The sequence below is a fragment of the Homo sapiens genome, chromosome 21, assembly GCF_000001405.40.
Source record: "Homo sapiens chromosome 21, GRCh38.p14 Primary Assembly".
NCBI lineage: Eukaryota > Metazoa > Chordata > Mammalia > Primates > Hominidae > Homo > Homo sapiens.
Genome location: NC_000021.9, coordinates 35,516,520 through 35,533,805, shown reverse-complemented (window position 1 = coordinate 35,533,805; position 17,286 = coordinate 35,516,520). Strand labels below are relative to the sequence as shown.

The following is a 17,286-nucleotide window of genomic DNA, read 5'->3' as shown; positions in this document are numbered from 1 at the left end:
AAGGTGTTTGAAACAAGTTCTCCTCTTTCACATTTTGACTTACACTGGCACGTTCTAAAATTCATCAGTCTAGCTCTAAAAGTGTAGACAGTTTAATTTTATAGAAGTAGCCAACTAGGAGTTGAAAAGATCCCTGGCACAGTTCAGCTGCTTTCTACCTATGTGATCTTGAATGAGTTATTTCATCTCCCTGGGCCTCAGTTTCCTCACCCAGTAAAAAAGAGAACCATTCCTCTCTAAGGCTCCTTTCAAACATAATACCCTCTTGTATTAGTTTGTTCTCATACTGCTATGAAGAAATACCCAAAACTGGGTAATTTATAAAGGAAAGGGGTTTAATTGACTCACAGTTCCACATGGCTGGGGAGTCCTTAGGAAACTTACAATCATGGTGGAAGAGAAAGCAAACATGTCCTTCTTCACATGGTGGCAAGACAGAGTAGTGCCGAGCAAAGGGGGAAAAGTCCCTTATAAAGCCATCAGATCTCATGAGAACTCACTATCATAAGAACGGCAAGAGGGTAACCACCCCCAGGATTCAATTACATCCCTCCAGGTCTCTCCCATGACACGTGGGGATTATGGGAACTACAATTCAAGATGAGGTTTGGGTGGAGGCACAGCCAAACCATATCACCTTGGATGGATTACATGGTCTCTTTTTGCACTTTTTCAAATTACTCAGACTTTCTGACTTCCTTTCAGATGTTCTTTATCCCATGCTAGGGGCTAAGTATTCAGGCAGTTTTTCACGTTTTCACCTTTTGGCTTTGAAAATATAACAACCTTGCCTGTAAGACCATTAAAAACAGGTCATCAGTGGCAATTTGGTCATAACCTGAAGTGCTATGTGAACTTCAGCTTCACCAGACACTGGACAGAGTTTTATTGGACAGAAATTTAAAACAAAGACACATTATAAACTCATATGCACCAAAGGACATGTACAAGAATGTTCATAGGAGAAGTATTTGTAAGTGTCAAAACTTAGATCAATAGCAGAATGTATAAATGAATTGGGGCATAATCCATGCAATGGAATACTATCCAAAAATGAGAATGAATGAATTACTGCTACAAGTCACATCATTGACAAAGCTCACAAATAATGTTGAGTAAAAGAAGCCCAATACAAAAGGGTACATTCTGGATGATTCTATTTCTATGAAGTTCAAAGACCAGGGGAGCTGATGTGTGGTCACCCATCAGGATAGTGGTTACATGAAGGAGAGAAGACCAGTGCCAGGTGGGGCCAAGTGAAGGTCCTGGTGTACTGGGATGTCCATCTTCTGATCTGGCATGGGGGTTACATAGATATATTCACTTTGAGAAAATTTGCTGAGATATAAACTTATGATTTTTGCACTGTTCTATGTGTGCATGTACTTCAACAAAAACATTTTCTTTTCTTTCTTCTCTTCTCTTTTCTTTCCTCTTCTTTTGTTTCCTTTTCTTTTGGAGACCAGGTCTCATTCTGTCACCCAGGCTAAAGCAGTGATACAATCACAGCTCACTGTAGCTTCAAATTCCTGGGCACAAGCGATCCCCCTGCCTCAGCCTCTACAGTAGCTGGGACTACAGGCATGTGCCAGCATGCCCGGCTAAATTTTTGTAGAGACAATGTCTTGCTATGTTACTCAGGCTGATCTTGAACTCCTGGACTCAAGAGATCTGCCCACTTTGGACTCCCGAAGTGTTAGGATTAGGACATTTTCTTAAAAACGCAGAAGTGGTAGATTCATTTCTCCCCAGTGCCTAACCAAAACAAGAGTTCTCTCAATCTTGATAGGGTTCTCTCCATACTTAACATACAGCATACACAGTTATTAAACACACCATAGACACGTGTCAGAAACTTCATTAAGAGTTATATCATGACATTTCTCTAGTTTTTGTGCTATTTCTAGCATTTTTCACCTTTTCTACATTCATAATATATACCAATATCTTTACTTGCTTCAGGTAAATAGTCACTCATATCAATGTCTTAGCCTAAATGAAAAGGAAAACAGAATATATTGCATATAACTGGATATCTAATTACCCAAATCACCACACCTACAGATTGTATTGCAATCAAAGCAGGCTGAAAAGTACAGCCATCTCTTAGCTGAGAGGCCTCAGAGCACTTTGTGCATGTTGGGGTTATCACGTTCTTTCAACTGGGTCCTCATTTCATCCCCCATGGTTGTATGACCATGGCAAGCATAGCCCTGCCAAAAGGTGTCACTCAAGAATGATTGCCATCCTACTCACGGTTTTGCAGTTTCTAAACTGCGAATCCCTGACAAGCTATTGTAAAGAGGTATACAATGTCTCAGAAGTATTTGAGGCATTTCTGCAAAAGGGAATACTACTCAAGCTCCGTGAAAGAGCAGTGGTTCTCAGTCTCAGCTGCACATTAGAATTGCCTCAGGAGTTTCAATCACAGGAATCCCTGGGTCCTACCCATAGAAAGTCCAACTTCGTTGGTTGGAGTGTGGCCTGGGCACTTTTTTTAAGCCCAGCAGTTGATGCTGATATGCAGCCAGGGTTGAGAACCACTGTTCTAGCCAGTTTTCCTTCTGTTTCTCCTCTTGTGCTGAAGACACCTGCCTACCCTTCACTTACCCAGCCCTAGAGAACGTTTTCCCAACTCTGGTTCAGTGACATCACCTTGGTAACTTGAACTCAGCATGGTGGGAGTACTTACATCATGGGAATCCACGGACCCTACAAACCAGAGCTTCCCCTCTGCCCTTCCCACCGAGAACTGGTTGTTAAACATTTACATTGACTGCTCCTTATTTTAACCTGATGGATGTTTTAAGGGGTGTAGAGATGAAATTCACTTCTTGTTTCCAAATGTGAGGATGTCCACATAAAGCTGCCAAGTGAAACTGAGGTTGCGTCTCGGAGTTCCTCATTACTGACCTTTGTAAATCATTTAGCAAGCAAGGGTGATTCGTAAGTTGGTTTTTCAATATACAATAGAAACAGGAAACGGTTTCCTCAGTTATACAGGTATTGATAAACTTTCTTTTTCCTCTTCTTTCTTTCCCTTTAGTTTTTCAACTTTTTTTCTAAAAAGGTGAAAGAGAAACTATTTATAGAACATATTTTCTGTTTTCCTTATGTAGGGGACAAAGGAATCATGATCCAGGAGGTCAAAGGGCATTCAGACGCTGTGTTTTTCCAGGAGGTTGTACTGTATGTGTAATTTACATTCTACAAAGTTCAACTATCCTGCTCTTCAAAGGGGGACCCCAGGGGCCAGCATTGTACTAAATTCAGGAGGCTTTGTGGACCTAAGAGGCAAAGAGATGGTCCCAGGGCTGCTCCAGGGCCACAAGATAGGGAACCTTTCCTTCCCCAGTCATCATTAGCTTTAGCCAAAGCAGGACAGGTGGCGGTGGTGACAGAACAGAGTTGTCCTCTTCTCTGTGGAGTTTGCAGCTATACCTAAGGGCAGCCTTGCTCTTTTCATCTTGCTAGTCCTTTAAAGGGAAGACCCTGTGTTTGAAAAAGCCTATGAATGCTACCAGGGGAGGAAAAAGCCCTGAAGAAGACACCCGTGGCCCAGAGATTCCTGTAGCTTCAGAAGTACCTGCAGAGACCACTTCCAACTACTCAAAATCTAGAGGTGGTGGTGACAGGCAGGAGAAGTCAACTAGCAAGAGTTTGCCCTTTGTACAGACTGTCCTGTGTTCCACCAGTGGGGAGCTTCTCCATCTAGTTCACACCATAGATTGATGGTTGCCTTCTTGTGTCTTAACACATGAAGTTTTAACAGTATGTACTTATGCCGAAGACTGAATTTATCATAGTTAGGTGACTAGCCAGGCTGGCTTGCCTGGGACTCGGAGTTCTCAGGACATGCAAATTTCAGTGCTCAAACCAGGAAAGTTCAACATACACCCCGATAGGTTGGTCACCCCATAGTCAAATTTGAAGTTAGAGAGTTATTTAGAATGGGAATTGCAATCCTTTGATTACATCACTTAATCACCACCACTCTATCTTGGCTATTGCTAAATTCTTTATCTGAGTTGTCTTGTAGCAAAGACCTTTTTGAAAGCTGAAAATTCCACATTGTGCTGTTTTCTTAACCAGTGGGGCATTTGAACTCAAAATGACATCAATGTGCTAGAATGCATACATCATGGCTTTGAAAAAAATAGGTCTGAGAACGAGGCAAAGTAAAACTAAGCAAACAGATAAGAATAGCAACCAAACCTGATCTTAGTCCAAAGGCCTAGAAGGGATGACAACAATTCTAAGTTTTTACATTGCCTACCTTGAAACCTATGATTGATAGTAATGGATTAGCGTGATGTATACTGTGTTCATTAAAGTGAAGGAGACCGGATAACTCACACAAGATAAATACTTTATTTATGAATGATTAAAATATTTTACAGCCATCTATCATCGTGAGCTCGAATGTAGTTAAAAATCAATTCGAAGTGAAAGTGAAAGGAGAGAGGCAGGAGAGGAAGACGTCTCCTCTCCCTGCTTCTGCCTTTGGCCTCAGGGTTATAATGGTCCTGCCTGAATGCTTGCATTGCTTGGTTCTTTGCTCAAGCAGCCTGGTTTAGTTGGGGTTCAAGGCCAAGCTGTGCAATAACAAACCCTGACAGGCTTTAATAAAGAGATATACAGCGTCTCGGATGTATTTGAGGGAACGCTGATGCTTGTGGTTTTGTATATGGTTATGGTAAATAACTAGCCCGCTAATTCTTGTGGTCGGCCTTTGCTGGGAGCGCTGGACCACTGGAGACCCATTTAACCCGAATCCCCCGCACCTACAGAGAGCCTTGCATTGCAGTCACAACAAGCAGGGCAGAGGCAGGGGCTGCCGGCCTGCGGCTCATCTCCGGGCTGAGTTCTGCTCACTTTTCCTCCCGCAGGAGCAGGATGGGCTGTGAGGCTGACAAGCCTGACCAAGGCGGCAGAGAACTTTCTACGTGTTGTGTTGTCACTCCGCGTTTCCCCTTTCCCCATGACTGATTCCTGGAGATGCTCTCTGTAAATGAGCCCAAGTGGGAGGAGAGGCTGACTGCTGAGTCCTCAGCAGTGCTGGAGGCCCCCGGGGGGGACAGCAGCTTCACATCCTGACAGGAGGCACTCAACCCGAACCGGAGCTGCAGGCGCCTAGGGTCCCTGACTCAAATTAGGGCGGGTGCGCCAGGCTCCGGACCTAAACCTACATCTTTCTTTTTCAACCCTTTTCAACTGCTTAGCATTTTATCTTTCTAACTGTGCATAGAAGAACTTAAGAGGGAAGTGGCATTTTGGACAGCAGCAGCCACAGAAAGGAAAGTTGCAAAACTGCAATATATCATTTTGGAGCAAATGCCTACCTACAGCTCATGGTCTTGGCTCATTTTTAGGAGAATGAAAGGGTTTGATACTGTTTGACTTCATCTCACCCAGCAACTTGAGACTAGGGTTCATCTAATGCCACCCCCACCCCATGCATATTTAAAGGTCTATGACTCAAAACCGTCTATCCTTTATCAAATGAAATGTGGAGATGATGACATGACTGTACTCCCACTCCCCTCTGAATGTGCAATTCTTAGATTTAAAAAGGCAAGAGAGGCATTGTTTCCCAGACCCTCCTTCCCTCCCCACAGTGTCCACTGAGAGAGATTCCTTTCCCAACATCACAGGAGACTCATGGCATCTTCTGTGCTGACCTCATGAGCTTCTCAGGGCATTTTGTTGCCCATTCTCCTGCCATTGGATCCTGAATTGGAGACGGGAGTACAAGGAAGGTTCTATAGAATCACCAGGCTTTCCTTTCCCCTGGTGTGTCTAACTTTTGACAGATACCCATTCTTCCACACATCCACAGGGAACTACGAGAGAAGTTGTGAGTTACTGATGTGCACTGAGTGTTTGTGGTCCCCTCCCTGAATTTCTCTGTTGAAGTCCTAATCCCTAAAGTGATGGTATTTGGAGATGGGGTTTTGGGGGTGATAGGTCATGCGGGTGGAGCCCTCATGAATGGGATTAGCACTCTTAGGAGAAGACACAGGAGAGAGATGATTGCTCTCTTCCTTATGTAAGGATTCAGAGAGTAGCCAGTCATCTGCAAACCAGCAAGAGGACTCTCACCAGGAACAGAATTGGCTGCCACCTTGATTTTTGACTTACAGCCTCCAAAACTGAGAAAGTCATGCCTGGTGTGTAAGCTGCCCCATCTTTGGTATCCTGAATGGCAGCCTGATGTGACTGCAATAGTGATGAGCTCACCATGCACCTGCTGCTGGAAGTTCTTGTTAGTTTCCTGCTGCTTCTGCCCAAGGATAAGAAAGAAGATGATGTCTCTAAAGACCAGGGCCCCTCCACCCTGTATATTTTACCATTATTGTTTCCCCTGTTCCAGCAATACTACTTCTCTCAGTCCTGTTTGGGTTGCTCTAATGAAAATACCATAGACTGGGCGGCTTTCACACAAAAGAAATTTATTTCTCTCAGTTTTGGAGGATGGGAAGTCCAAGATCAAGGCACTGGCAGATTTAGTGTCTGCTGAGGGCCCAGTCCTAAGAGATGGCTGTTTTCTCCCTGTGCCCCCACAGGGTAGAAGGGGCAAACAATCTCTCTGGGATCCCTTTTATAAAAGCAGCAATACCATTCTTGAAGTCTCCTCCCTCATGACCTAATCACCTCCCAGAGGTCCCACCTCCTAATACTATTACCTTAGGGTTTAGTAGGACTGGTTTCCCAGAAGCCCCTCTCCGTGGCAATGTATGAATTTTGGGAAGACATAAACATATAGTCCATTGCACCACTTTATATACATAATATATATATATGTTATATGTATGTGTATAGATATATGTTTTGTGTGTGTGTGTGTGTGTGTGTGTATATATATATCTATATCTATATATCTCCCCTCTGGACTGTAGTCCAGTTGTAGCAAAACTTTAAAACATATACACACACATACACACACACACCCCCAGTGTGTGTGTGTGTGTGTGTGTGTGTATATAATATATCTTCTATATATCATCTGTCCTGTATATAGTGTGATATATATAATATATTATATATTATATATATATATCTCCCCTCTGGACTGTAGTCCAGTTGTAGCAAAACTTTAAAACACACACACACACACACACACACACACACACACATATATAACTTTCTAACTTTCCCTTGGTCAACAAGCCTCAGAGGAATAACATAGACTCAACTCAGAGAATCTTGTCTCTACCCTGACTCACATTTAAGGCACTAAAATATCATCGTACCTCCCAGCTTCCCAAGCACAGCCTTTTCTAATTTGTTTTCAAGGCTGATCACTATGATTGGTCATTTTGGTCTTCAGAGAGGAAAAGCCTTTTGCTTGATGTTTGGTGATATCCATACAAATCTGCAGCTTTCTGGCTCAGCTACTCATTGGGTGTTCCCGGGCATTACTCTCAAAAGTCTAATTTTCTCCCTAATGTCTCCCACACCCTGAGTCCCAGTTTTGGATTCAAAACCGATGTCCTGGGATATAAGCTCATTGGGAAACTGTGTCCTTAGATCTAGACACTTGTCCTTTACCTGGGCACTCTTGACGTGCTTCCTGCCCATGCTCAGCTATTTAGAATGTGACACCTCCCCTGAACAGAGGCACCAGAGCAATTGCCCCAAAGGAAGGTCCTGTCCTCTGCCTTCACCCATGTTGGTAGGTGGTTCTTCCAAGATCGAGGTGTCAGCAGAGCTGGAGGGGACTATAGGTGGAATAAGGTCATTGTATGTCTGTAGGTTGTCTGTGATTGGCTGGCTCTCAGAACAATGGCTTATTGTTCTTCCCCACCTGGGGCTCTCTCCCAAATGAGATTCATCTTATCTTAATCTTAATCTTAATCTTACTCTTATCAGGACCCCACAGGTTTATTGGAAATCAAGTGTGAGGATGGACCAGGGAAGACACACTGACAAAGTCCAGCATGTTCTAGGGTCTGTTACAGGTAGGAAGGCTTTTAGAGGAATGTTGAGAAGGAAGGGAGCCACTCCTTCTATAGAGTTATCCTTTTGGTTAAGGTGCAATACAGAGGTTTTAATCATTGCTTCAGCTTGCAACATACAGGCTAAAATGTGGACATGTAAGACAATCAATAAAACTTTATGATTCAGAGACAAATCAGCAAAACTTCATGATTCAGAAACAAATCAGTGTCCTTTTCAATGTCAGTAGGTCGTGCATTAATCAGTACATCAACAATTTGAGGAACTCACAGTAAGGTTCTTTACTTGGGGACAGGATGTGGCCATGAATCACAAGACCTCCCTGATGGAAGCCTGTCAAATGTGACCTGTAGGTTATCAACGATGAGAACTGTGTCTTACAGATCTTTGAGTCTCCAACACTGGTCACAGACTCAGGTACCCAGGGAGGTTCAAAATGTTTAGCTGGATGCTCAATAGATCTACAGGTGACAGACAATCCAGGTGCCAAAGCTAAGCCAGAATCCCCATTATTTTCATTTCCTTCTGTATTCATCAGCTTGGGCTGCGACAACATAATACCATAGACTGGCTCACTTAAATGACTGAAACTTATTTTCTCCCAGGTCTGAAGGCTGGAAGTCCAAGATCAAGGTGCTAGCCAATTTGGTTCCTGGTCAGGGCTCTCTTCCTGGCTTGTGGACTGCTGCCTTCCTGCTATGTCCTCACATGGTGAAGAGAGTGCTTGAGCACTCTCCTGTCTCTTCTTATAAGGACACTGATCCTATTGGATCAAGCCCTGCCCTTATGAGTCCACTTAACCTTAATTACCTCTGTAAGGGCCCTTTCTCCTAGTACAGTCACTTTGAGGGTTAGTGCTTCAACATGTGAATTTTGGGGGGACACAAACATTTGGTACATAACCGCTTCTTCAACAAAGATATTTTTTATAGATTAAGAAAGAAAATCACAGAGATGAACACGAAGATCAAAATTGACTACTCTTATGGGCTCTTACCTGTCTAAGGGCCTCCTTACCAGGAAGATGGCATGAAGGATAATAATCAGGATACAATAATCAATAACAATAATATCCTCTGCCTCACCTGCCAAACACCAGCTGCTTCTCAACTTTTGTGGTACTTCCAGTATCTCTGGGTGAGGGGCTGGGAGCCTTCGGTGGCTGCCCCATGCTGAGTACAGAGCAGGGGGATGCAGACACTGCAAAGGTTTCCACCATTTCTGAAGTCAATGAACAAGCTCATTCAAAAAGTATTTTCCTTTCCATTTGCCTCATACACAGGAAAACAAACAGGTATTAAAAAGTAGTCATTTATCAGAGGATAGTATTTCAAACACATGATAGACTATGATATTTTTATGATATTTACCATAGCCTCAAACACTCTCTCGACCACATGAGGACACTTATTTGACTGCTACTGCCATAATTACTGGTAATATCCAGGCAGATTTGAATTTGCAGATGAATATGTTTAACTTTGGCACATAATTAACACAATGACAGCAAAACAATTTAATCACATCATATGTGACCATTACCTAAAGTGTCTGTCTTTATATAATCAGTAGAAAAATTGCAGCCATCTATTTTTAATATTGCTAATATCGACATTTGAATGGAATTCAATGAATATCTAGAAATAAAATGGATACTGAGCAATAATTAAGCACTTGTATGTTTGCAATTGTAAGCTTCGATACTATTTTCAAAACAAATGGGGCCGGGGTATAATGTTCTGGGAGTTTCTGTTGGACTTGACTTTTCCTGGGTCAAATCTCAAGAGCTGTTTACTTGAGGAGGGGGTGGCGGGGCATGGAGCTGAGAATGTGAAGGAAGGGGCAGCCCCCCAGGGAGAATTCCAATCAGTGATCCAGTCATAGGTTTGGAGGGGATACTGCACCTGGCCATGTGCCAACAACATGGAAACTGGGGCATCTTAGGGGAAAGAAGACTCCAAGAAGTCCTGATAGTAATTCACTGAACTTGAGCACACCAGGTACAATGTTTTATGTGGTCCCTTGGGAAATTAAAACAGGCCTACTCTATGGGACTTCTGATATACCTAGAACAGCAGGGTTAAATTAATATAAGACAATAGAGATCTCATTGGAGGGCAAGGGTCCTCTGGAAGGTGTCTGTGTTTGGTGGAAGGGGTGGTAAGTACAAGTTCTTAGAGTAGCATTTAGGAACACATTGCCTTAAGCTAAATAACAAATTAAAGTCTAAGTTGCACACAGACAGACATAGACATGCAAAGATCTGTTACTATTTTGCTTTATTTAATCTATTGGGAGATTTTTTACTTATAATGGATCATTTAAGTGCTGGTACATTTTAATTAAAAGGCAAAAGAATTCCTAGCATCTTACAATATGAATGCATCCAAAAAATCATGAAGATGAGCTGCATCTGTTCTCTGCAGCATTTTCTAATAGAGACACATCAGAATTAGCCTAAATAGCCAACAAAACTAGTTCTTTAAATCTGATAACCTACATACTTAGCATGGCATATTACACATCTATAAAAAGGATGTCCAAAATTTATGTAATTACATGAAAAATTGTTCCAAGCATACATAAAAAGTAAGCTTAAACAATGGATGTTGTATAAATCAGTTTCATAAATAAGTCCATTCATAGAAAAGGCTACAAATGTCTGCAGACATTAATTGATTATCTAGCAGATAATTTTAATCTTCTTGCCATTGTTCCTACAAAGAGCCATTAAAAATAGACTTAAAAATCACTGAAAAAAAAATTTCAGGCTCTTGAATGCTTCTTTGTTTTTTTGTTTGTTTTTGAAACTGAGTTTCGCTCTCATCGCCCAGGCTGGAGTGCAATGGTGCGATCTTGGCTCACTGCAACCTCCACCTCCCGGGTTCAAGCAATTCTCCTGCCTCAGCCTCCTGAGTAGCTGGGATTACAGGCATGTGCCACGACACCCTGCTAATTTTGTATTTTTAGTAGGGATGGGGTTTTACCATGTTGGCCAGGCTGGTCACGAACTCTTGACCTCAGGGGATCCACCCCACCTTGGCTTCCCAAAGTGTTGGGATTACAGGCATGAGCCACCGTGCCTGGTTTCTTGAATACTTTTTGATAGTGGCTACTGTCAATGTCAAATCAAATGGGCAGATGCAGTGTAGCACAGCCATGCTCAAAGAGACTGGTATGGCCCCCAAGGTGAGATCCTAGCTACTGTGAAGGTGTGTGGCCTTCCTAAGGACCATTATACATAACCAGATACACAGTGTAACATATCAAAATTTCAAGGAGGTGGAGAAGCAATCAGAAAAATGCCCAAAAGGTGTTTTTTTTTTTTTTATGGGAGTGATCATGGAAAAAAGGACAAAAATGTTTGCTTGTATGGCCTAACATTTTTAGGAATATGGTTGCTAAATTGAAGTACAGCTATGCTTTTAAAAAAATGAATTAAAGTAATTAGAAGACCAAGTCTTTTTATAGACTCCCTCGTACCAGTCATCCCAAGTTGAGCAAGTGGTGGCATGTCATCCCCTGGTTCCCGGAGCACACAGGTGTGAACAGTCTGTTGTCTTCCCTGCAGCTGACAGAGGCAGTACCAGGGCTGCAAGCCCCTGACAATCTCCTTTTCAAAAAGGCTCTTATAAATTTGAAGCAGACAGTTCAGATGGCTCCTCATCCACCCTCCCAGGACACACAGACGTGCGTTACAAAGAATGTCCTGTGCTCTCTTGGAAACATGGAGTGGAAGCATCTCCCTGACCTGTATCTCCAAGCAGTGTGCCGTCCTGGGCCGTGCCCACGGCGCCTGCCTGTCTCAGTTCCAAGGCAGCAATTGAGTGATAATTGCAGGATCTTATTTTGAACAACACTACAGCAAAGCCTGATAAAGTTTGTAACTATTTAGATCGAAATCTGAGAACTCTAAACAGTTTATTTACAAAGAAAGACATAGATAGGTTTTAATGTGTCTCATAAATCCTCTCTCCTTGACCGCAAAGAGAGCAGATACACAGTTCTTGGGGGAATCAATTAGCCCTGGACAGGGATTCCTCTCTCCAATCGCTTCCCCGGGTATAAGGCTTTCATAGGCCGAGAGGTTCCAGGCACTAAGGCTGAACAAGGCAAACCCTGGGGCTTCACTTTAAGAGTTGGGTTGAGGTTCCTTGGGAATAGTCAAGATGGGCCGGGAAACATCCTGAGCAGATAGACTGAATAAATACCAGAATAGGTCCTTAGACCAGGGTTTCTCCGTAGACCACAGCTTCTCAACCTTTCTCAGTCTCTCCATCTCAATGTCTGCCAACTGGGGCTGGCTCATTCTTTGCTGCGGGAGGCTGCCTTATGCATTAACATCCCCTCTACCTTGTACCCACTAGAGGCCAGTAGCACCCCTACCTCCCACCCCCAGTTGTACTGTTGCCAGGTGTCCTCTGGGAAGGCGTAAGAATCATCACTCTCCCCCCACCCCCATTTAGAGAACCACCTTAGACAATGACATTTCTCCCTTTTCAGAGGTTAATTTTTTTTCTAAGCACAGATTGCTATTTGGATATCATTGCCTTCTCTCCTCTCAGCCCTTTCTGAGTGCCCCGCTATACAATTACATATTGGCTAATTCTTCCATCTTTAACCTGAAGCTTTGAAAGGAAACAGCTTTTATCTTCTCTGTTACATTGAGGGTGGGGGGCGGGTAGGAAGGGTTTGAATATCTATTGCTTTGCATGCAAATTTTAATCCTTTAATCACCTCCCCACAGTTTCAGGGGGAGCTTGCCTGAGAATCCACCAGCCCACCCTGGTCTTTACCATAGGCCTGCAAACAGACTGGAGGAAACCTGAAAAGGTCATTTCCTTCCCTTAGCCATAATACCCAGGTTTTGGATGCAGATAACTTCAGGCCTTTTAGCTCAGAGAAAAGGGAGACTGCTCCCATCTGTACCTCTGTCTGTCCTGCTGGGCCCAGGGTATGAATGATCTTTTTCACTTATTAAGAATTTGCATATTGTTCTCCATCTGATTGAATTACTTCTTTGTCCTGAAAAAGATAAGTTTGTGAGAAACTTCCTTTGGTGCCAATTTTCCTTATTTTTTAGGCTTGGTGAAATAAAAAGTATTCTAGCAAATTCAACAGAATTTGCAGTATTCTAGCAAATTCAACAATAGAACAAAACAAAAGTATTCTTTTATTTTGAGTAGCAGTCATTAAAAAGAACTGGGATATTTGCTTTTCCTCTGCGAGCTCTTTATTAGTTAATGACACAAGAGAATGTGGTCCCCATCCATGTGCCACTGCTACGTCTGTGATTTGCGCAGGGCCAGTTTCCAAAGCAACTCCTTATCTGGCGGAGTCGGCTTTGCGTGTTGACTATGCTCGCTGTTAACATGGTGCCATAAATTATATGGCTCTGGTTTTTTCTTGTAGTCTAATCATTTCTCTGGGAAAACAGTGTCCCACTGGGTCTTGCCCTTCACAGGATGTGTGAAAACACAACTCCAGCAAGATAGGAGGACAGGAAGCTTTTTCATTCATCACAGATGAAACACGCTCCATCACTCCAAAGATGCCTTCCAATGTTAAATCTCTAAACAAAAGATTTCTACACACGTTAGAATGTGAACTCAAAATAGGCAGATATAGGAAATGCAAAACTGCAGTCACTGAAAATAACACTCTGCTGGAAAGAAAATGACGACAACACTTCTCTGCCTTTAAATGTGAAGGATAACCAGGACCATAAGGAATTACTTATCCACCTGATTTGCTTCTCCGATCAAGAAGCTGACACTGAAAGAAGAGAAGGAAATTGTTCCACGTGAAGCAGCTGGTGAATGGCAGGGTTGGGACAAGAACGTACCCAACTCTGACTCCCAAGTTCTCTGATAGCAGTTTGCTGCCTGTGCCCAGTGGGGAGACCAACCACTGCGTGTTCCCACCCAGGGCCTCTGCACGGGCTGTTTCCTATGTCTGCAATGATCTCCCCCCAGATACTGGCTTCACTCTTCCCCCGACTTTATTCAGGTCTCTGCTCTGATGTCCTCTCCTCACTGACCACCGTGTTGACAACAGCAGCTCCAGCTTCTCCCTTTTCTGCTATTTTGCCTTTTATCACAGCACTTACCACCACCTGGAATTATATTTATTTGCCACGTGGGCCACCAAAAGCATCCGCCAAAAGTAAATCGCTGATATTCATGTCAGAAAAGAAAGGCCCTACTCCATGCTTCAAGGCTGTAGTTATAAAGAACTTAGAAATGGGTAATCATTAAGAAAAAGTAGGGAATCCCACACCTGATTAAATAAATATAAATAAAATGATAAGATGCCACAAGTTAGGTTAAGCTCACCAGTGGACTATATTTGCCAAGTCAGTTCTCCCTTGCCCCAAAGCTCTTTGACTTCTGCCTTCCTGGGACACCTCACACTCCTGGTGTATTTGTCAGTGTTCTCCAGAGAAGCAGAATCAACAGGATGTGTGTGTGTGTGTGTGTGTGTGTGTGTGTGTGGTAGAGAGAGAGAGAAACAGAGAGAAAGAGAGGGAGATTTTTAATGAATTGCCTCATGTGATTGTAGAGGCTGGTAAGTCCAAGATCTTCAGGGTGGGCTGGCAGGCTGGAGACCCAGAGAAGAGCTGATGCTACAGTTCAAAGTCCAGAGGTCTCAGCTGCAGAATTCCTTCCTGCCCAGGGGAGATCAGTCTTTGTTCTATTCAGACTTTCAACTGATTAAATGAGGCCCACCCACCTTAGGGAAAGCAATTAGTTTTATTCGAAGTCTATTGATTCAAATGTTAATTTTCATCCGAAAACACCCTCACAGAAACATCCAGAATAATGTTTGACCAAATATCTGGACACTGTGGCCCAGCCAAGTTGACAAATAAAACTAACCATTCATTGCACCTGTTTTTCTTCCAGTTATACAAATGCTCCATTTGATTCTTCTTAACCAAATCCTCCTCCACCAGGATTATTGGAATGTCCCACGCAGGGATTCCAGATACAGCAAATAAAAACACAGGGCCTCCGGTCAAATTTTAATTTCAGATAAACAATAATTTTTTAACATAAGTATGTTCCAAATATTGCACGAGAAATACTTATTCTAAGAAATTATACCTGGTTGATTCATTCAAATTTAATGGATTTTTCTGTATTTTATCTGCCCATGCTGTGTGAGGGGCTCTGGGCAAAGCCATTTTCTCTGCCCTCCTTGAGATTCTGCTTCCTCTGCTAAGATTCCAGATTATAGAGATGACTCTTACATCTACATTTTCAGCATGGGTCCCCATTTATTCCATTGCTGCAATAGAAATATTAATGTTCCTGGCCCCATTCAGTCTTTCCCATCAGTGGCGGAGGTCAGTAACCTCAGCCTCTGTTTCCTATAAGCCAGTTTCCATCAATTACTTCCAAAATGTATCCTGCATCTGACAACTTCTCCGCATCTTAATGAGTCAATCCTACACCTTCATCACTTTTCTGGACTGTGTTGCAACCTCCCAGCAGGCTCCCGGGCTCCATTCGTGCCCTGACTGTCTATTTTCTCCTTCATAAGTAGGCTTATTTTTATAAATGGAATCTCCTTTAGTCCTCACTGTCTATTTTCTCCTTCATAAGTAGGCTTATTTTTATAAATGGAATCTCCTTTAGTCCTCGCCTTATCCCTCTGTTAAACAAAATTCTCCCAACGTGGCTCCTTGTAATTAAAATCTAAGCTCTCCACAAGTCCCTGTGCGTCTGCTCCCTGCACTGGGGCCTCACAGGCATTCTTTATCTCAGGCTCACCAACTCGTACTGGCCTTAGGCTTTGGCATTGGTGCTTCCCCTGCTGAAGAAGTTCTTCCCTGAGATAAGGCTCCCCACTCCGGCCTGGGCTCAGATGTTATATTCCCAGAGAGGTCCTGCCTAGCCACCTCTGAAGGTCAGCCTTTGTCTTCTTACTTTGGCTTCTTCAAGGCATCTGCAGTACCAACGTTTCCTCCAAATGGGATATAAACTTCTGGAAGGCACAGAGTCTGCACCCTTCGATCTTTCTTATACCCACTCCCACATATTCGTCTCTTTAAATGTTATTTTTCAAATATAATATGATCAGAAAAAAAATTCAATCATGTTATCAAAAATCAAGTGAAATGGGCACTTTGACAAACTGTTGGTAAGAACTTTAACTGGGAAGGATGTCTCAAAAACACTTTGCCAGTATATTTTAAGAATCCTGTCCAGGTGCGGTGGCTCACACCTGTAATCCCAGCACTTTGGGAAGTTGAGGTGGGAGGATCACCTGAGGTCAGGAGTTTGAGACTAGCCTGGCCAACATGGTGAAATCCCATCTCTACTAAAAATACAAAACTGGCTGGGTGTGCTGGCATGTGCCTGTAATCCTAGCTACTCGGGAGGCTGAAGCAAGAGAATCGCTTGAACCCGGAAGGAGGAGGTTGCAGTGAGCTGAGATCGCATCATTGCACTGCAGCCTGGGCAAAAAGAGTAAAACTCCATCTCAAAAAGAAAAAAAAAAGCAATCATGTCTTTTTCTCACTAATTACAAAGTTAGAAATCTGTTCTCAGGACATACTCTGCAGTGTGGGCAAGACTTTGTTTGTAGCGATGTTCTTTGTAGAGAAAATATATAAAGAAAGTGAAGTGTAGCAATAGGGGAATAAATAAAAATCACAGGGTATGTCTGTGTGGTGGAATGTGATGCAGCTTTTACAAATGGCATTTTTCTTTTTTTTTTATTATACTTTAAGTTTTAGGGTACATGTGCACAACGTGCAGGTTTGTTACATATATATACATGTGCCATGTTGGTGTGCTGTACCCATTAACTCGTCATTTAACATCAGGCATATCTCCTAATGCTATCCCTCCCCACTCCCCCCACCCCACAACAGGCCCTGGTGTGTGATGTTCCCCTTCCTGTGTCCGTGTGTTCTCACTGTTCAATTCCCACCTATGAGTGAGGACATGCGGTGTTTGGTTTTTTGTCCTTGCGAAAGTTTGCTGAGAATGATGGTTTCCAGCTTCATCCATGTCCCTACAAAGGACATGAACTCGGGCTGCATAGTATTCCATGGTGTATATGTGCCACATTTTCTTAATCCAGTCTATCGTTTTGGACATTTGGGTTGGTTCCAAGTCTTTGCTATTGTGAATAGTGCCGCAATAAACATACGTGTGCATGTGTCTTTATAGCAGCATGATTTATAATCCTTTGGGTATATATCCAGTAATGGGATGGCTGGGTCAAATGGTATTTCTAGTTCTAGATCCTGAGGAATCACCACACTGACTTCCACAATGGTTGAACTAGTTTACAGTCCCACCAACAGTGTAAAAG

The 17,286-nt window shown here is 42.9% G+C and overlaps 1 long non-coding RNA gene across 1 annotated transcript in view, besides 4 other annotated features; it reads left to right on the top strand.

The window, feature by feature from the left end:
- Positions 1–17,286, top strand: part of LOC100506403 (uncharacterized) — a 208,258-nt gene that overhangs the window by 46,959 nt on the left and 144,013 nt on the right. The window lies entirely within an intron of this gene.
- Positions 5,045–5,224: an enhancer, noted in NCBI's record as "active region_18420". NCBI's record gives its function as "activates an Ori minimal core promoter by ATAC-STARR-seq in GM12878 lymphoblastoid cells {active_cell/tissue: GM12878}" and the evidence as "EXISTENCE:reporter gene assay evidence [ECO:0000049][PMID:35858748]".
- Positions 5,245–5,294: an enhancer, noted in NCBI's record as "active region_18419". NCBI's record gives its function as "activates an Ori minimal core promoter by ATAC-STARR-seq in GM12878 lymphoblastoid cells {active_cell/tissue: GM12878}" and the evidence as "EXISTENCE:reporter gene assay evidence [ECO:0000049][PMID:35858748]".
- Positions 5,355–5,474: an enhancer, noted in NCBI's record as "active region_18418". NCBI's record gives its function as "activates an Ori minimal core promoter by ATAC-STARR-seq in GM12878 lymphoblastoid cells {active_cell/tissue: GM12878}" and the evidence as "EXISTENCE:reporter gene assay evidence [ECO:0000049][PMID:35858748]".
- Positions 7,728–8,927: an enhancer, noted in NCBI's record as "MED14-independent group 3 enhancer chr21:36897177-36898376 (GRCh37/hg19 assembly coordinates)". NCBI's record gives its function as "activates an origin of replication core promoter dependent on BRD2, BRD4, P300/CBP and CDK7 cofactors, and independent of MED14, by STARR-seq in HCT116 cells {active_cell/tissue: HCT116}" and the evidence as "EXISTENCE:reporter gene assay evidence [ECO:0000049][PMID:35650434]".